The following is a 17554-nucleotide window of genomic DNA, read 5'->3' as shown; positions in this document are numbered from 1 at the left end:
AGACGGGGTTTCATCTTGTTGGTCAGGTTGGTCTCGAACTCCTAACCTCAGGTGATCCACCCACCTCAGCCTCCCAAAATGCTGGGATTTTAGGCATGAGCCACTGCACCCAACCATGGCTGACATACCTTTAACATGCTATGTTATTACATGCTATGTTAGGGTGGATATGAAGAAATAGGCATTCTCATACCTTGTTGGTGGAAAAATAAATTAATACAGCCCCTGTGGAGGGCAACCTGTCAGTGTTTATCAAAATTGAAAATGTATGAATATATCCAGAATTGGAATTGCTGGATCATATGATAGTTCCATTTGTAATTTTTAGGGAAACTGCCACCCATGAAGACATGAAACATGACACAATGTTCAAGTATACTTTTTTTCTTGAAATGGAGTCTCACTCTGTTGCCTAGGCTGGAGTGCAGTGGCGTGATCTCGGCTCACTGCAACCTCCACCTCCCGGGTTCAAGCAATTCTCCTGCCTCAGCCTCCCAAGTAGCTGGGATTACAGTGCATGCCATCGCGCCCAACTAATTTTTGTATTTTTAGTAGAAATGGGGTTTCACTATTTTGGCCAGGCTGATCTCGAACTCCTGACCTCAAGTGACCTGCCTACCTTGGCTTCCCAACATGCTGGGATTACAGGCATGAACACGGCACCCGGCCTCAAGTATACTTTTGATAAGAGAGATGTAAATTAAAATGACACTAAATCATCTACATCAAGTCAGCCTCCATTCATCCATGCATTCATCTTTCCATTTATCCGCTAAATACATGTTGCATACCTTTTGACTCAGTGATCTCAATTCTAGTAATTTATTCCCCTGTCGCTATGCTAGTGTATAAGAAAGGTGACATTTATGCAAAGTTATCCATTGCACTTTGCTTGTAAAAATCAAGGCAGGAAACAAATCCAACCATAGAGAACAAGTTAAATAAATCATGGTACATCTATGCAATGGAATACTAGGGGATCATTAAAAAGAACAGGAACATTTCTCTTTGTGCTGCTATAAAAGAATCTCCAATAAATATTATTATTTGGAAAGCACATGTATATAGTATGTCACTATTCATATTAAAATAAAATAAAAAACAAATATTCTTTATGTTTTTGCTTGTTTATGCATTTCATATCTCTGGAAGGACATAAAAGAAAACTGGGGACCGTGGACACCTATGGGGACTGGAATGGCACCTGAGGGACTGGGATGGGATGGAGGATTTTTACTGTGTATCCTTTGTACTTTCCTAGTTTTTGTAACCTGTGACTATGTTACCTATCATTTTATTCATTGTTTTAAAAAGAGGTATCCATCCTGATACTGGCCTAAATTACCAAGAGAACTGGCATCCACATTCAATTGCTAAGACTACAGTTTTGGGTTAAATAAATTTTTCAAGTTGATTTTTTCCACACTGTTGTCAAGACAACCTTCCCTTTCTCCACAATATTGAGAGAATTAGGTGTCAACCTGGCATCTAGACAGAAATAGCTGCTTAATTCCAAACATGGATGGGTTAGGAAGGCCAGAAAGTTATTGTTCTTATAGATTCATGTAACACCTTGTAAATACTTTTTGCCCAGTGGGGGTTCAATAAATGTTGCTGACTCATCGGTCACAGGGAAGCAATATTAACTCAGAAGGACTAACTGAAGTCATTTAATCAGAAAATCAATTTCATTTTCCTTGTCATGGGGAAAATATTTCTGCTAAGTCAAGAAAAATGTAGAGTTAATTATTTTGTGTCAAGGAGTCAAATGGAAAGCCAGGAGTTAAAGTGTTGAGAACAAAACAGTTGCAAATCAATTTGCTTTGCATTACAGTTGGCAGTCTTGGGCACACTTAGCCACATATGGAAGACATGTTTACTATTTCAAGAATATAGTATCACTTTACAGTGCTTAGTATTCAAAGTCCCACATTGTATTGCTTTTTTGTAATTTTTGAGCAATTTCTGTGCCAACATTTGGCACAAGGGGTACTAGAACCCTACAATAATTGCAAACTTGCTTCCCTCCCTCTAAGCTTTACTTCTTGTGGCCCTAAGACCATGATTGTATCAGATATTAATCTAAAACCCAACCACCAAATGGATTTTATTGAAGCTGCTGTAATTCCACCACCAGAAAACATGACAAATAGCCAACCTGTCACTGAAGATTTATGTTTGGTTTTGAAACCCATTATCTTTCAGGAAATATTGCCTAGTATGATTCACTGAGTAGCAGCAGTTTCATATAGCCCAAGGTTTTTCGATATTGATTTCACGGCATCGTTATTGCAAATCAGAGTGTCTGTGCTTTGCTCGAATCACACGATTGAAACCAGTCAGCTTCAGGGATCATTAGCAAAAGTAAATGTACCCTGCAATACTAAGAATCTCAGACAGAGCTTCTACATGCTGGGAATAATGCCGCCTACATTTCCCCCTCTGTTGAAGGTAAATTCAAGAAGGGGAAATGTGTTGCTTTGACTAAATTGACGGAACAGCTGAATGCACGCTGCTTTTCACTGCTGGTAAATGAAATGGAACCACTTCAGATCTATGCAATATTGGAGCCTGAAGGGGCCTTAAAGATCCTCTAGTCCCAAACTCTCCCTTAACATAAACCAAGGCTCAAAGAGGTAAAGTGGCTTCATACCAATGCTCTGCCACTCCGCCATGTCTAACAGCCCTGCCCATAACCAATGTAGTGAGGGCATGGTGTGGAAAGGAGGCAACTCAAGGGACCATGAGCACAAATCACTCAGGGCCATGGTTCTGTCACGTCTCCCTTTCTGTTTCACTTGGGGGAATCCTCTTGATTAGTTAGGTGAGGGCATTAAACACTCTTGTAATGATGAAAAGCTCAGGGCCTTGCAATTTGGGGTGAGATGAGGGAAGTGAAGGCAGGGGACAGTGGTAGAGGGTGTTCAAAATTACCTTTACAGACCATTTCAGCAGACTGTTATTAATCAATATACTGCAGCCAAGGCACAAACTCTTACCATCGCCAAGTGGGTGTCCTAGCTGCCTGTTCCTTTCTCATTTAATTTTCTGAGTTTGGGAATCTAACTTTCTTTCTCTGTTCTCACTTTACTAAAACTTCTCTTCAGCATTAGACACAGCTCCTCCTTCTTAAAATACTTTCCCCTCTTTGTCCTTAACCCTACAATCTACTAGTTTTCCTTCTATCCCACAGGCAGTTCAATGTCAATCAGATTTTCTCTCTGTCCCTGACCTCTCATTTCCTCTCACCCACTTTCTCTACTTCATGGCTAATAGGTATCTCATACTTGACATGCGCAAAAAAGGACTCATCATTTATTTTCTGCCACCACATATTTTTCCCCCACCTCACCCTCTGAATGAAAACAATTCAGAGAACCGTAGTCTAAGCCCCCAAGTGTGTCTCATTCCTGAACAAATGGGAGAGGAGGAGTATGCAGAAGTCACCAGCTGCCTGGCCCCCACTGGGGTGAAAGCTTTGATTCCTCGGGGAGTCAGCATTGGCCTTCAAAGGCAAATCACAGTCTGCAATGTCAACTATTTGCTGAATGTGGCACGTTTGTAATGCAAACTCAGTCTGGCCTGATTTGGGTCAAGAAATAGCTCCAGTTCATGAAAGCATGAGACCTCCCAGCACTAAGTCAAGGAGCAAATCAGCTATTTCTTAGTTAATGAAAAATTCCTTCCCAAAAAGCAATAGGTGAGTAGAGTCATTATTGATGTGGAAAGCCAGGGGGATGGGGTAGCAGAAGCAGATTGACAGAGGAAAAACCTCATTTAAAAAACACTATCCCAGCCTGGGCAACATAGGGCAAACTTGTCTCTACAAAAAAAAAAAAAAAAAAAAAACAATAAAAATTAGTCAGGCATGGTGGCACACACCTTTAGTCGTAGCTACTTGGGAGGCTGAGGTGGGAGGATCACTTGAGCCCAGGAGTTTGAGGCTGCAGTGAGCCATGACTGCACCACTGCACTCCAGCCTGGGCAACAGAGCAAGACCCTGTCTCTAAAAACAAACAAAAAAAAAGGAAGCAAAGAAACACTATTAATGAGAAGTGCTGCTTCATATTTTCCAGTGTTGTCTGCTGTAATTGGCAATAGGAGAAGTTCTGGGGCCTTACTGCAGAGGGCATTTTTAGAGCAAACTGGTATCTGGAGTCAACAGCCACATGGAAAGAAGAAATGAGGCTGGGGGAGGGAAGCTGGAGCTCATGATCATAGGTTTTCTTCTCACCTTAAGCACTATTTGATAATTTGAATTACAACACTTATTTTCCATCTTCCCTCTTATACTTGGAAATAAAGAGCCATGATCAAAACATATATAATCCAGGGTTTCTCAACCTCTACTCTATTACATTGTGCGGTGGATAGTTCTTTGTTGTGGGGGCTTGTATTAATCTATTCTTACATTGCTGTAAAGAACTACTTAAGACTGGGTAATTTATAAAGAAAATTGGTTTAATGGGCTCATGGTTACACAAGCTGTATAGGAAGCATGGCTGGGGAGGCCCCAGAAATCTTACAGTCATGGCAGAAGGCAAAGGGGAAGCTGGCAAGTCTTACATGGCTGGAGCAGGAGGAAGAGAGAGTGAAGGGGGATGTGCTACACACCTTTAAACAAACAGATCTCATGAGAACTCACTCACTATCACAGGAAGAGGAAGGGGAAATCTGCCCCCATGATCTAATCACCTTCCACCAGGTCCCCACCCCAACATTGGGAATTACAATCGACATGAGATTTGGGTGAGGATACAGAGCCAAACCATATCAGAGCTGTCCTGTGCATTGTAGAATGTTTAGCAGTATCCCTGGCCTCTACCCACTAGATGCCAGTAACACCCTCTCCCCACTGCCGCCCTATTTGTGACAACCAAAAATGTCTCCAGACTTTACCTAATGTCCCGTAGGTGCCAAAATTATCCCAAGCTGAGACCACTGGTCTTAGGTTATTGAAGTCTCAGAAGGTAATCCTAGAGAAGTATCTTAGGTCAGGTTCCCTATGTAAGGGGTTTACTGGGAGTAACACAAACAGTATCTATAGAAGGCAGGTTGGACAGAGAGTAACACTGAACAGAGATGCAGTTACAATAAAGGTTTCAACAGATCGCTCGAGGGGCTCTGGAGCCCTTCAGTGTTGTCCCAAATACAGGCAAGAAGTTGAGTTCTTCCCTCTCCACCAGCCCTCCCCTCCCCCCACCATTGGATGGGCATGACCTTGTCAAGGCTGCTCTCTTCCATTAGTGGGCCATTCCCAAGGACAAACCCAGCTATGAACATGCTCTTGGCAGTTGAGGGGATGAGCCCCTCAATCCTGAATGGGGGATCTGAAGAAAGTACCACAACATTAAATATTAGAAGAGAATAGCTTCAACTGCTTTGAGGCCATGGTCATAAAGATCGAGCTTGGCTGTCTTCAGAATAAACCCCGAGAAGGCCTCAATTTCACAGTCACAATTTTCTTTCATAATCCAATGCTGTAATGGCCCAAGAAAATTAGAAGAGCTACTTCTGACCTCAATTATTTTTGAAATGTATCTAATTTGACTGTGGTTTTCATAGATTCATAAGTTGGTTTTTATAGGTTAAAATGCAGCTAAAACCTGCATAAAGCTGCCTAAAGCCATGCCAAGCTCTTTTTCAAGAAGTGTTTAAAGGCCCCCTTGGAAATGATCCGTGGCTACTGATTTTTAATTTGTTTTGTGAAGGAATAAAGTTAAAAGACTCTTTTTGACTCTCTGAGCCAAAGTGAGTGTTCCACAGGTGATGGGATTGTTCCAAATCATTCCTGGAAAAATGCTTGCTGGGCTGGTCATAACAAACTGTAACTTGCCCCTGTCACTGTATGTAATTTAGACTCTTCCACTCAAAATGTGGTCTGCAAGCTGCAATTCCACAGCACCAAGTGGTTGGCTTTGCATTATCTCATTTAACTGTAAAAGGACAATCCTATGACCACGTAAGGCACTGTTATTCGTTCCATTTAACCAAAGAGAAAGCTGAGACTGAGAGCGTTTATGCAATTTACACAAAGACACCCGATTGGTAAATGGCTGGGTAGGGACCAGAATCCAAGTCTATCTGACTACAGAGCACCAGCTTTTGTTTCATGGTATAAATATTCTGAATCACAAAGTCACTAGTTTCCTTTATATGCAAATTTCTGGACCCTGGGACTCCTGAAGGAAGAATCATTACAAGCACTGATTTTTGTTCACCTGCCAGACATATATTCCTCAGCTGTTCCTTGAGATCGTGACAGACTATAGGAGCTATGGTTATGTTTACAAAACACTTTCCCTTATGTTTTCCCAATCCTTATTACAGCCATCTGAGGCAGGGAATAGTATCCTGATGTCTTAAGTGACAAGAAAAGGCCCAGGGAAGGACTTGGTCAATCAACAACTAAATGGTACAGACTTCATTCTGGCTTAGGCTTTTGTCCCTGACCTCTGTCTTCTCAGCACCACTGGCAGATGCTCCAAGGCCATAGTCCTGACAAGTCTGTATTCACTTCCAATGAGCCATGGAGCATTTCTCCCTTCAGGAAAGCCCTCTTCAAAATGGGTTCAATTTGGAGTTGGTCAGACCCACTCTTCATCACCAGCCTGGTTTTGGAGACATGATTATCACCTTGATCTGTCTGTTTCTATAGCACCTATAACTAAATAAATATCATATTGAAAAGATCAGGGTGTAGAAATGTTACATAGCATACATTGTGCAATGGAAAGAGAGCAAAGGGAAGTACTCTGTGTGATACCACACAGACCAGGTAATAGAGCAAGAAACAGAAAACAGGCCAAGCTGTTCTAGTGCCTTTAACCCACACTGCTTCAAGATGCAGGTAAATTAGAGCATTTGACTTTTACTTGTGGTTACAAATTATGAAGATTTTATGTATCATTTGAAATTCTTGGGATTGAGAAGGAGCAGGTTAACTCTTAACAACTGTGATACACACACAAAAGCTGTTTCAATAAATGAAAGAGAAAGAAAAATGATGGAGCTTCAATCCTCAAAGATGTGAATGCTATGCCTACAGGCAATCGGACAATGTAGGACAATACACACACACACACACACACACACACACACACACACACACACATGCACACATGCATGCACACACACACACGGCAAACATTTATTGGGCAATACTATGCCAGAGCATGTTACATATATCTTAGCTCATTTAATATGGTTTGGTGATACTATTTTCCCCATTCCACAGGTGAAGAAACTAAAGCCCAGAGAAAATAAGTAACTTGCCTATGGCCTTTCAGCTAGTAATTAGCAAAGCAAGGACTTCAATCCAGATCTAATGACTCTAGAATCTACACTCTTAATCACTGCCCTGTACAAAGACAATGTCTTTGCTATGGACAGGACCCACAGCACAGACCCATTTCATGGGCCTACAACTTATGCAGTCTCACAGGGCCCTGGGCTCAGAGGGAGCCACACTTGGATAAATGCTCTGCTGTTGCTGTCTCTAAAATTCTTGATAATTGGAAAAAGGGACACTGCATTTTTATTTTTTACTACACCTAGAATTTATGTAATCAGTCCTGGGTAGGGAATACTGAATTGCAAAATCATTAGGTTAGCTGTGTCTTTATTTTAAAAGAAAAAGGAGGAGGAGGAGATCAAAGTAAAGTAGAAAGAAACTAAATATTTAAACCAGAAAATCTGAGACATAATTACTATTATAAAAATTAGCGGAATCTGGGGCTAACAGTTAAGAAGATACATGAATAATGAAAGATTGAAGTTGATATGGTTTGACTCTGTGTACCCACCCAAATCTCATCTCCAATTGTAATCCCCACATCTCAAGGGAGGGACCTGGTGGGAGGTGATTGGGTCATGGAGCCAGTTTCCCCCATGCTGTTCTCATGATAGTGAGTGAGCTCTCACGAGATCTGATGGTTTTTAAAGTGTTTGGCAGCTCCTCCCTCATGCTGCCTGTCTCCTGCCACCATGTAGGATGTGCCTTGCTTCCCTTTCACCTTCCATCATGATTGTAAGTTTCCTGAGGCCTCCCCAGTCATGTGGAACTGTGAATCAATTAAACTTCTTTTCTTCATAAATTACCCAGTGACAGGTATTCTTTATAGCAATGTGAAAATTGACTAATACAGAAGTCAAAATGTGCAAAATTCAAATGTTTTCCTTTATTTAAATAGAAAGAAAATGATTAAATGAATCATGTGGAAAAAAAAAACAGGTGTTAATTCTTTTTGCATTCAACCACATCCCCAAAAAATGTTAATTGGAAAATTAAAAGTTGTAATTTCCTATAGAGTTAGCCTGGATTAGAATGCATTTTAGTGAAAACAGGAGCTTTATGCATTTCTTTTATTTATTCATTTTTTTAAGACAAGGTCTGGCTCGACTGCCTAGGCTGGAGTGCAGTGGCACGATCTCGGCTCTCTGCAACCTCTGCCTCCTGGGTTCCAGCCCTCCTCCCACTTCAGCCTCCCAAATAGCTGAAACTACAGGCATGCCCCACCACACCCAGCTAATATTTGTATTTTATGCAGGGACGGGGTTTCGCCACATTGCCCAGGCTAGTCTCAAACTTATGAATACAAGGGATCCACCTGCCTTGGCCTCCCAGAGTGCTGGGATTACAGGCATGAGCCACTGCACTCAGAACATTTCTTTTAAATGGTATGAATACTCAGTGAGCATCTGTAATGCTGTGATCACGATGCTAGATACCCAGGAGGATGCAGAAAAATAGACACAACCCCTGATGAAGATAGACATAGAAGCACAACCAACATAGCAAGAGTTGTTAATATCTAAAGCCACCATGCCAAGAGTGTTATGCCTTATCACATTTGATTCTCACAAAGATGTAATTGAGGACATTGAGGCCTAGCAGTCACACACGTCGTTAGCATTGGAAGTGGAGTTTATCATAGCAACAGGGTGAGCAATGATAACTACCCACATGAGTAAGTGCTGTGAGTACACAAAAGAGGGGCCATGGAAGGGCAGTAATTATTTTATTAATTGGTTTCTTTAGTTTGAACTTGGCAGTGTCTCTAAGAATTTTCTCCTTACCCATTCACTCCCATACCCTGCCTTGTTCCTCCTAAATCATTCCTTCTTCCTTCCTCCACTCTCTCAAGTAATAGCATTTCAGACTCTGAGAAAGGAAAGAGAGAGTGCGTACCACTTTTTAAAATAGATATAGCTTCATTATCTGCAAGACATTGATTAAAAATTGCCCAATGTTATATTGTCAATTTTGTGTGTGTGTGTGTGTGTGTGTACATAAGTAAATACACAAACAAATGTGTGCCCTTAACTTGTTCTTTCTAGTGAAAAATAGTGTAACACAGTCGAATCTGGAGATTGGAAACAAACCAATATCGTGCTTGCAAGTGGCTATGAAAACCAAGGAGCCACGTCCAAGGAGAAAATAAAGAAGTAACACAGGTCACCTCTGCCAAGTTAGAACAAAGGTCTCCAGAGAACCTAAGGGCTTCCTAATGTAAAGACATATCAGGAAATGAAGATCTAAGATTAGATATAATTTTATCTCTGAAACTTTTCAAATGATAAAATCCATCCAATATGTTTTCATAAATTTGATCCAGAGCCCATTTTTTGACACAATATTTGGTCTATATGGTAGAATGTGTTGTTTGGATGCCTACCAAAGTATTGAAATTCCTTTGACAGGAGAAACTGCAGATTTCTACATTCAATTCTCACCCAAAACCTAAGATGAAAAAAAACTCCAACATAAAAGAAAGAGTTTATCCAACAAAAAAATACAGAATAAACTTTCAACCATAGAAAAGAGTGATGACCTGGGATTTAACTGCAGATGGGATGTCTTCCTTCACAGCATAAGCTTGTGTGGAAGTGAATGACAGCATCTGAAACCTAGAAGGTATCTTTTTGATTATATCAGTCATTTTATTTTTTGTAGGAATGAAAGTTTGAAATTCAGACCAAACATTCCAGGTAACTCTCATTCACTCAAAAAAACTTTTATTCTTCTAATAATATGAGAAATATTCTTTTTATGGAATGTTTTAAAAATACACATAATACAATTTTTAAATAAGTTTAAATAAATTTTAAAAGGAGCCACAATTAATATTTTGGTATACAGTTTTCTAAATATTCTTCTGTGCATTAGAGAAAAATATAAATATATATATATTTTATTTTTACAAAAATATATGCTTACTGAAACTATATGTCAATAAATATATTTCTACAACACCACTTTGATTACCTATGTGATATTACTTTGAATGTACAAATCATAATTTATTATATTGGTCATTTTTAGATACTTATTTTTGTTCCCAATACATTGCTAAAATTTATCTTACTGTTATTTAAGTTGCAATGTGACTAGTCTTGACACACATCCCTAATTATTTTCTTAAAATACATTCCTAGAAATAGGATTACTGATTGAAAGGATATACACATTTCTAAGGCTTTTCACCTCTTTTGCCAAGTTAATCTCCATTTATTCAGTAAGCAAATATACATTGATTGCCTATTATCTGTTTGCTTCTATACCTAAGTCTGAGTTACAGTTGGGGGACAACATAAATACAGTCCTTGCCTTTATAGAGTTTACAATACAGGTAGAGAGAGAGAGACAATAAGCAAATACCCAATATTCATGACAGTAATAAATCATGAGCAAAACCAACAGAATACCATGAGAAAATATAATACAGTGACTTCACTTAGGCAGAGCTCGAGGAGGAATGCCAAGGAAGTTCCACTGGGACACTGAAGCTAAGACCAGGAGGTGAAGAGTGGCAGGACAAGCATTCTGAGAGAGGGACTAGCAATGTCTGCTGGCCCCACAAGAAGAGCTCCACAAAGGAACTGAAAGAAGCCACGGGTCTGAAGTTCAGTGACAGAGAAGATGGGAGCTTGGCAGGGGCCACACTAACTGCAATGAAAGCTATCACTGAAGGGTTTTAAGCAGAGGAATCATGTGGTCTGACTAATAATGTTTTTTAATGATTCCTTCTGGCAGCTCTAAGCAAGGTAAGTAACAACACTATTTAGATTAATTCAGCAGTCTAAAAAGTCAACAACAAAAATTTTGTCCCATTCAGTAGGTTGCCTGTTCACTCTGATGATAGTTTCCTTTGCTGTGCAGAAGCTCTTTAGTTTAATTAGATCCCATTTGTCAATTCTGGCTTTTGTTGCTATTGCTTTTGGTGTTTTAGTCATGAAGTCTTTGCCCAGGCCTATGTCCTGAATGGTACTATCTAGGTTTTCTTCTAGGGTTTTTATGGTTTTATGGTTTTATGGTCTTATGTTTACATCTTTAATCCATCTGACAAAGAGTTAATATCCAGAATCTACAAAGAATTTAAACAAATTTACAAGAAAAAAACAACCCCACCAAAAAGTGGGCAAAGGATATGAACAGACACTTCTCAAAAGAAGACATTTATGCGGCCAACAAACATGTAAAAAAAGCTCATCATCACTGGTCATTAGAGAAATGCAAATCAAAACCACGATGAAATACCATCTCACATCAGTTAGAATGGTGAGCATTAAAAAGTTGGGAAACAACAGATGCTGGAAAGGATGTGGAGAAATAGGAATCCTTTTACACTGTTGGTGGGAGTGTAAATTAGTTCAACCATTGTGGAAGACAGTGTGGCAATTCCTCAAGGATCTAGAACCAGAAATACCATTTGACCCAGCAATTCCATTACTGGGTATATACCCAAAGGGTTATAAATCATTCTACTATAAAGATACATGCACACGTATGTTTATTGCAGCACTGTTCACAATAGCAAAGACTTGGAACCAACACAAATGCCCATCAATGATAGACTGGATTAAGAAAATGTGGCACATATACACCATGGAATACTATGCAGCCAAAAAAAGGATGAGTTCATGTCCTTTGCAGGGACATGTATGAAGCTGGAAACCATCATTCTCAGCAAACTAACACAAGAACAGAAAACCAAACACCGTGTGTTCTCACTCATAAGCAGGAGTTGAACAATGAGAACACATGAACACAGGGAGGGGAACATCACACACTGGGGCTTGTCAGGGGGTGGGGGGATAGGGGAGGGATAGCATTAGGAGAAATACCTAATGTAGATGATGCGTTGATGGGTGCAGCAAACCACCATGGCACATATATACCCATGTAACAAGCCTGCACGTTCTGTACATGTATCCCAGAACTTAAAGTATAATAATAAAAAAAAAAGTAAACGGCAATGACAATGATGTCTTAGAAGGAAGCAATGGCAGAAGACGTGGAGAGAAGTGGAATTACTTAAGATATATTTGGAGATCATATCAACAGCTACTGGTGGTTCAAGCCCAGAAGAGGGCCTGGTTGTCCTAAACTCACAACACTGTATTTTTTCCTAATTAAAATAACAAATATAATAAGATAAAAATAGCATTTCAATGTTGTGCTCATTTTGCATTGCTTTGATTACTAGCCCTTGAACATTGTTTATTTATGAGCAATTTGCATTTTTTTGTGCACTACCTATGATTGGGTTTTTTGCCCCCTTTGCTACTAGATCATTCTTTTTCTTGTTGCTTATGTATCAGTTTCCTAGGGCTGCTGTAACAAAATACCACAAACTAGGTGGCTTAAAACAGCAGAAATATATTCTCTCACTGTTCTAGAGACAGCAAGTGCAAAATCAAAGCATTGGCAGTGCCATACTCCTGCTGAGGTCTCTAGGGAGGTTCCTTCCTTGCCTCTTCCAGCTTCTGGCAGCCCCAGGTGTTCCACAGCCTGTGGCTGTTATCAGTCGAATCTCTGCTTCCATCCACACATGAGGTTCTCCCTGTATGTCCATGTCTCCTCCTCTTATGACACCAGTCATATTGGATTAAGAGCCCTCCCTACTCCGCAGCTTAACTAATTATTTCTGCAATGACTCTATTTCCAAATAAGGTCCCATTCTGAGGTACTGGGGGTTAGGACTGTAACGTATCTTTTGACAGACCCAACTCAAACCATAACAACTCATAAGAGATCTTAATACACTGCAAATATCTTTCTCAGTTTATCATTTGCCTTTGTATCCTGTTTATGTTGTTTGGTATGGATAAAAGGTTTTAATTTTGTCAATTTAATCTATCAGTTTTTCTTTTATCCAGTATTTGTTGAGTGCCTACTCTGTGTGTGTGTGTATCTGTGCGTGTGTGTGTGTGTGTGTGTGTGTGTGTGTGTGTGTGTGTGTGTACCAGATGCTGTTCTAGGTGCCCTTGATCCAAAGATGAATGAGAGTTGGCTGTCTTATCCCTACATGCTCAGAGTCTAGGAGGCAGACAAGTAAACAAATAAATATCATTCAGATGATGACTACAACAATAAAACATTTGAACTAGGGGAAGGGGGCAAAAATAAAGAATGCTCAGCGAAGTTTGGGCAGTTGTAGAGAGGAGATCAGTCATGCCAGACCCCTCTCAACTCCAATAGGGAATGCACCAGCTTCAAGAGCCCGAACAAGAGACCCAGAGCCAGCAAAGCAGACATGGGGTTTGTTGAGAGAAACTTACTTACATACAGGGATGGTCCAGTGACAGTGGGCTACACAGAACTGCTCTGCCCAGTGGCAGCAGACAGGGCAGGAGAGCCGCTTGTAAGAAGCATGCAGTCGAAACAGCGTTTTCACTTAGCACCGTCCTCCTAACAACCTCCAACTGGTAACCTTCATTTAACCTAAAACACAGGGCTTTGATCTCCTGTACAGCCTGTGTTCCTTGGGATGGGCGAGGGGCTCAGATATTCCTCATAGATAAGGAATGAATCTCCAGGTTGGCAACTTCTGGATTCCTTAGCTCGGAACTCCAAATACACGTTTGTGTGCATCTGCCATGCAGGGTCATTCTCAGGGTATGCTGAAGTCAGGTTATCACTGTCAGGTGCGTCTACCAAACACAGGTGTGTCTACCATTCAAGGCCCTTGGGCAGTCGTTAAGGAATATGAAGTTTCAGTAATTATGCCTCAAACTGAAAGTTTCCTGGCTGACTGTCCATCAAGTAGGGTCTCCTCAAAGTGCAGTCCAGCGGACCACAGCGTCAGCCTCACCTGAAACCTTGTTAGAATGCAGAATCTCAGGCCCTGCCTTAGACCTAGGGAATTAAAACCTGCATTTACATGACATCCCTGGATGATGTGTATACACATGAAAGTCTGAGAAGCACTGCCCTATGCTTTGGAAGTCATTTTTTCAGATTTACAGTCACAGGCTTTTGTCTGTGATTACAAGGACATAATTAGAAAATACCCTAGAAGCCTTGCAGTGCAAAAGCAAACTTTAAAACTCTTCCCATGTGTTATGTCAAGATACTGATTAGTACATCAAATGGGCAGCCTTCACCAAATAGCTTCATAATCCATGGGAAAAGAGACCCAGTGTGCACATTTCAGGGTAAGCTCAGTGGAAGCCAAGGGGACAATTTGCTCTAGGGATGACCCTGGCATGACCCTGTGATTCAGACCGAAGATAAGCCTCCAAATCCATTCCCTGGATCAGCTGTTCAAAGGGGATTTGTCTCCTGGGTTATAATTGGTCTCCCGCTTGTATTTTGAGCAGGTGGTTCAGGGGAAAGGGAAACTTTGTTTTATTTATTTAAGCAGTTGAATAAAGGAAGTGTCTCTTTGGGAAAAGAGATAGGAATTGTTTCTGGCGTGGTAATTGGGTAGAGTAAGCTGGAAGAGGTGGGGGTACAAGAGAAAGTGATGGAGAGAGAAATGGAAAACAAGACTTGGGTGGAGAAGAAAACTCTCACCAAAGTAGAACAGCTGCTGGATCACTCAAAAACCTGTATTGTTTTACTTCAGAGCCAAGTTCAATTCTGCATGCTGAAAGGAAGGAATGCAAGGTACACACAAGGTAGATAGCTAGGGACAAAAATGTGAGACACCGTAGCCTCTAGATGTAAGATATTCCTTAGGAAACATGGCAACATGGATGAAGCCAGCCTCCTGGCACCCTGCAGAGTGTGCACTACAAGCCGGCAGTCTCATCCTTGGTTCACTCAGTCGTGGGTTTTACTAGAACAAGGCTAGGATCCATTTTAATGTATGCTAAAAGATATAAGAGAGGCATTCAATGCAAATATTAACCTGGACTAGTGTTTAATGCCTGTCTCCAATGCATTCTTCCCACCAAAAATCTGGCGGTGGTTTTAGAGGGAACTTACTGGAATCATTTTAACTCAGCAAATAAATAAAAAGACTTGCTGCCTGCAGTTTATTGTGACGGTCCGGGCTTCCCTGTACAGTGAGACAGACGTGCACTGTTCAACCCTAGGCACTCTTTAGAGCTGTGTGCTACACAATCCATAAAAGCAAACACGGCTGCCCTGGGGACAGAAAAAAATAAAAACAAAGGGGATTAAGACAAGGTACCTACAGTCAAGAATTTACCACTTAATATAAAAATAAGTAGCTAAAACATACATCTAGCAGAAACTCTCAAATTTCTATGACCGGCTTTGCAGAGGCTACTGCCGCCAGGAGTCCCAGTACTATCAGCCATGGTCAACCACACCATGTTCTTCGACGTTGCTGTCGACAGTGAGCCCTTGGACCACGTCTCCTTTGAGCTGTTTGCAGAAAAGTTTCCAAAGACAGCAGAAAACGTTCGTGCTCTGAGCACTGAAGAGAAAGGATTTGGTTATAAGGGTCCCTGCTTTCACAGAATTATACCAGCATTTATGTGTCAGGGTGGTGACTTCACGCACCATAATGGCACTGGTGGCAAGTCCATCTACGGGGAGAAATTTGAAGATGAGAAATTTATCCTAAAGCGTACAGGTCCTGGCATCTTGTCCATGGCAAATTCTGGACCCAACACAAACTGTTCCGTTTTTCATCTGCACTGCCAAGACGGGGTGGTTGGATGGCAAGCATGTAGTCTTTGGCAAGGTGAAAGAAGGCATGAATATTTTGGAGGCCATAGAGCAATTTGGGTCCAGGAATGGCAAGACCAGCAAGAAGACCACCATTGCTGACTGTGGACAGCTCTGGTAAGTTTGACTTGTGTTTTGTCTTAACCACTGGACCATTCCTTCTGTAGCTCAGGAGAGCACCCCTTTTGCTTGCAGTATCCTAGAATCTTTGTGCTTCCACTGCAATTCCCTTTGGGTTCCATGTTTTCTTCGTTCCCTTCCATGCCTAGCTGGATTGCAGAGTTAAGTTTATGATTATGAAATAAAAACTAAATAACAATTGTCTGTCCTTGTTTGAGTTAGGGCTTTGATGTAGGCCTTACTTGAAGCAGAAACAGGTTACTTCTGAAACGTTACTTACATGCTTGCTTAATTCTACACAGTACTCAGTTTTTTTTTTCACTTTCCAGACCCAGGAAGTCTCAATGTTATTTGTTGAGTGGAATATTGAAAATGTAGGCAGGGGCTGTCCATGGTGGCTCACTGCCTGTAATCCCAAAGCTTTGGGAACCTGAGGCAGAAGATCACTTGAGGTCAGGAGTCAACATCAGCCTGGGCAACATAGTGAAACCCTGTCTCTACAAAAAATAATTAGCCCGGCCTGGTGGTGCATGCTATAGGCCTAGCTAATCAGGAGGCTGACCTGGGAGGATTGCTTGAGCCCAGGAGTTAAGGCTGCAGTGAGCTATGATCATGCCACTGCACTCCAGCCTGGGTGGCAGAGTGAGACTCTGTCTCTTAAAGGTAGGCAGGGGCAGGAAAAGCAAGGAGCCAGAAATTAGAGGTTGGACCAGTGCTCAATGAGTTCTTGCATTTAGAGGTGTTCTTCAAGGTGACTAGTGTCACAAACTGAGAAATCTGTTATGGCTCATTTTCTGTAACAAACCTAACTTGAACACTGCTGGTATTCCTTGAGGGAAGGCTATTGGGCTTTAGGCTCTATGGGGAAGGGTCTTGGGCCCTTTGAGTAATTTGAGTTGGAGGACGTAGGTCAAGTTTATATATCTTTTAATTATGGTGGAATTCCTATGTAGAGACTGAAAAGCCAGGTACCTGGTGCTGTAGTCAGTCTCCCTGTAGAGGGTTAAGGCCCAGACCACATGCAGTGACTAGTTACTGCTTCTAGCATATAGAGCCTCTCCCTAGCTTTGATTATGGAAACTTTGAGGTCTTGCCAGCCTGATGAATCTGAGCCATAAGATCTGGTCAAAGCGATTCCCTTCCCTTAATTGAGGACTTGGTTTCTCATGAAATTAAATGTACAGTGCTGGCAATTAGATGTATAGGCTGAAATATACATATCAGAGGACAATCTAAGCTGAGAAAACCCCACCACTGCCCACCTTAACTGACCTCTAAGGTTCTTAACCCAGCAATCAAGTTTGCCTATCCTGAAGATGTGAGAATTGATCACTTGGTGTGTTCTGCAAATTTTTGTTTTACTGTCTGCCTGGTTCCTTCTGCGTGAATTACCGATGCAACCCCCTCTACAACCACCACCACTTGTTCATCTCAGTCTTGTGTGTTGTCTGGTTACATATCCCTGGGTGACATCATTCAATGTCTTAATGTACTTTAGCTCAGGCCTGA

The 17554-nt window shown here is 41.2% G+C and overlaps 1 pseudogene, besides 5 other annotated features; it reads left to right on the top strand.

Annotated features, from left to right (window-relative positions):
• Nucleotides 1543-2508: an enhancer, noted in NCBI's record as "NANOG-H3K27ac-H3K4me1 hESC enhancer chr7:28332361-28333326 (GRCh37/hg19 assembly coordinates)". NCBI's record gives its function as "activates a minimal SCP1, AML or CMV promoter by ChIP-STARR-seq in naive H9 embryonic stem cells {active_cell/tissue: H9 hESC(naive)}" and the evidence as "EXISTENCE:reporter gene assay evidence [ECO:0000049][PMID:30033119]".
• Nucleotides 2509-3476: an enhancer, noted in NCBI's record as "OCT4-NANOG-H3K27ac-H3K4me1 hESC enhancer chr7:28331393-28332360 (GRCh37/hg19 assembly coordinates)". NCBI's record gives its function as "activates a minimal SCP1, AML or CMV promoter by ChIP-STARR-seq in primed H9 embryonic stem cells {active_cell/tissue: H9 hESC(primed)}" and the evidence as "EXISTENCE:reporter gene assay evidence [ECO:0000049][PMID:30033119]".
• Nucleotides 2509-4444: a biological region, named in NCBI's record as "OCT4-NANOG-H3K27ac-H3K4me1 hESC enhancers GRCh37_chr7:28330425-28331392 and GRCh37_chr7:28331393-28332360".
• Nucleotides 3386-3680: a silencer, noted in NCBI's record as "tiled region #8220; K562 Repressive non-DNase unmatched - State 24:Quies". NCBI's record gives its function as "represses a minimal TATA promoter and a strong SV40 promoter by Sharpr-MPRA in K562 cells {active_cell/tissue: K562}" and the evidence as "EXISTENCE:reporter gene assay evidence [ECO:0000049][PMID:27701403]".
• Nucleotides 3477-4444: an enhancer, noted in NCBI's record as "OCT4-NANOG-H3K27ac-H3K4me1 hESC enhancer chr7:28330425-28331392 (GRCh37/hg19 assembly coordinates)". NCBI's record gives its function as "activates a minimal SCP1, AML or CMV promoter by ChIP-STARR-seq in naive and primed H9 embryonic stem cells {active_cell/tissue: H9 hESC(naive and primed)}" and the evidence as "EXISTENCE:reporter gene assay evidence [ECO:0000049][PMID:30033119]".
• On the top strand, nucleotides 15508-16240 carry PPIAP80 (peptidylprolyl isomerase A pseudogene 80; annotated as a pseudogene).
• The last annotated feature ends 1314 nt before the right edge of the window (nucleotides 16241-17554 follow it).

This window comes from Homo sapiens, chromosome 7 (genome assembly GCF_000001405.40).
Source record: "Homo sapiens chromosome 7, GRCh38.p14 Primary Assembly".
NCBI lineage: Eukaryota > Metazoa > Chordata > Mammalia > Primates > Hominidae > Homo > Homo sapiens.
This window is presented reverse-complemented; position numbering and strand designations above follow the sequence as displayed.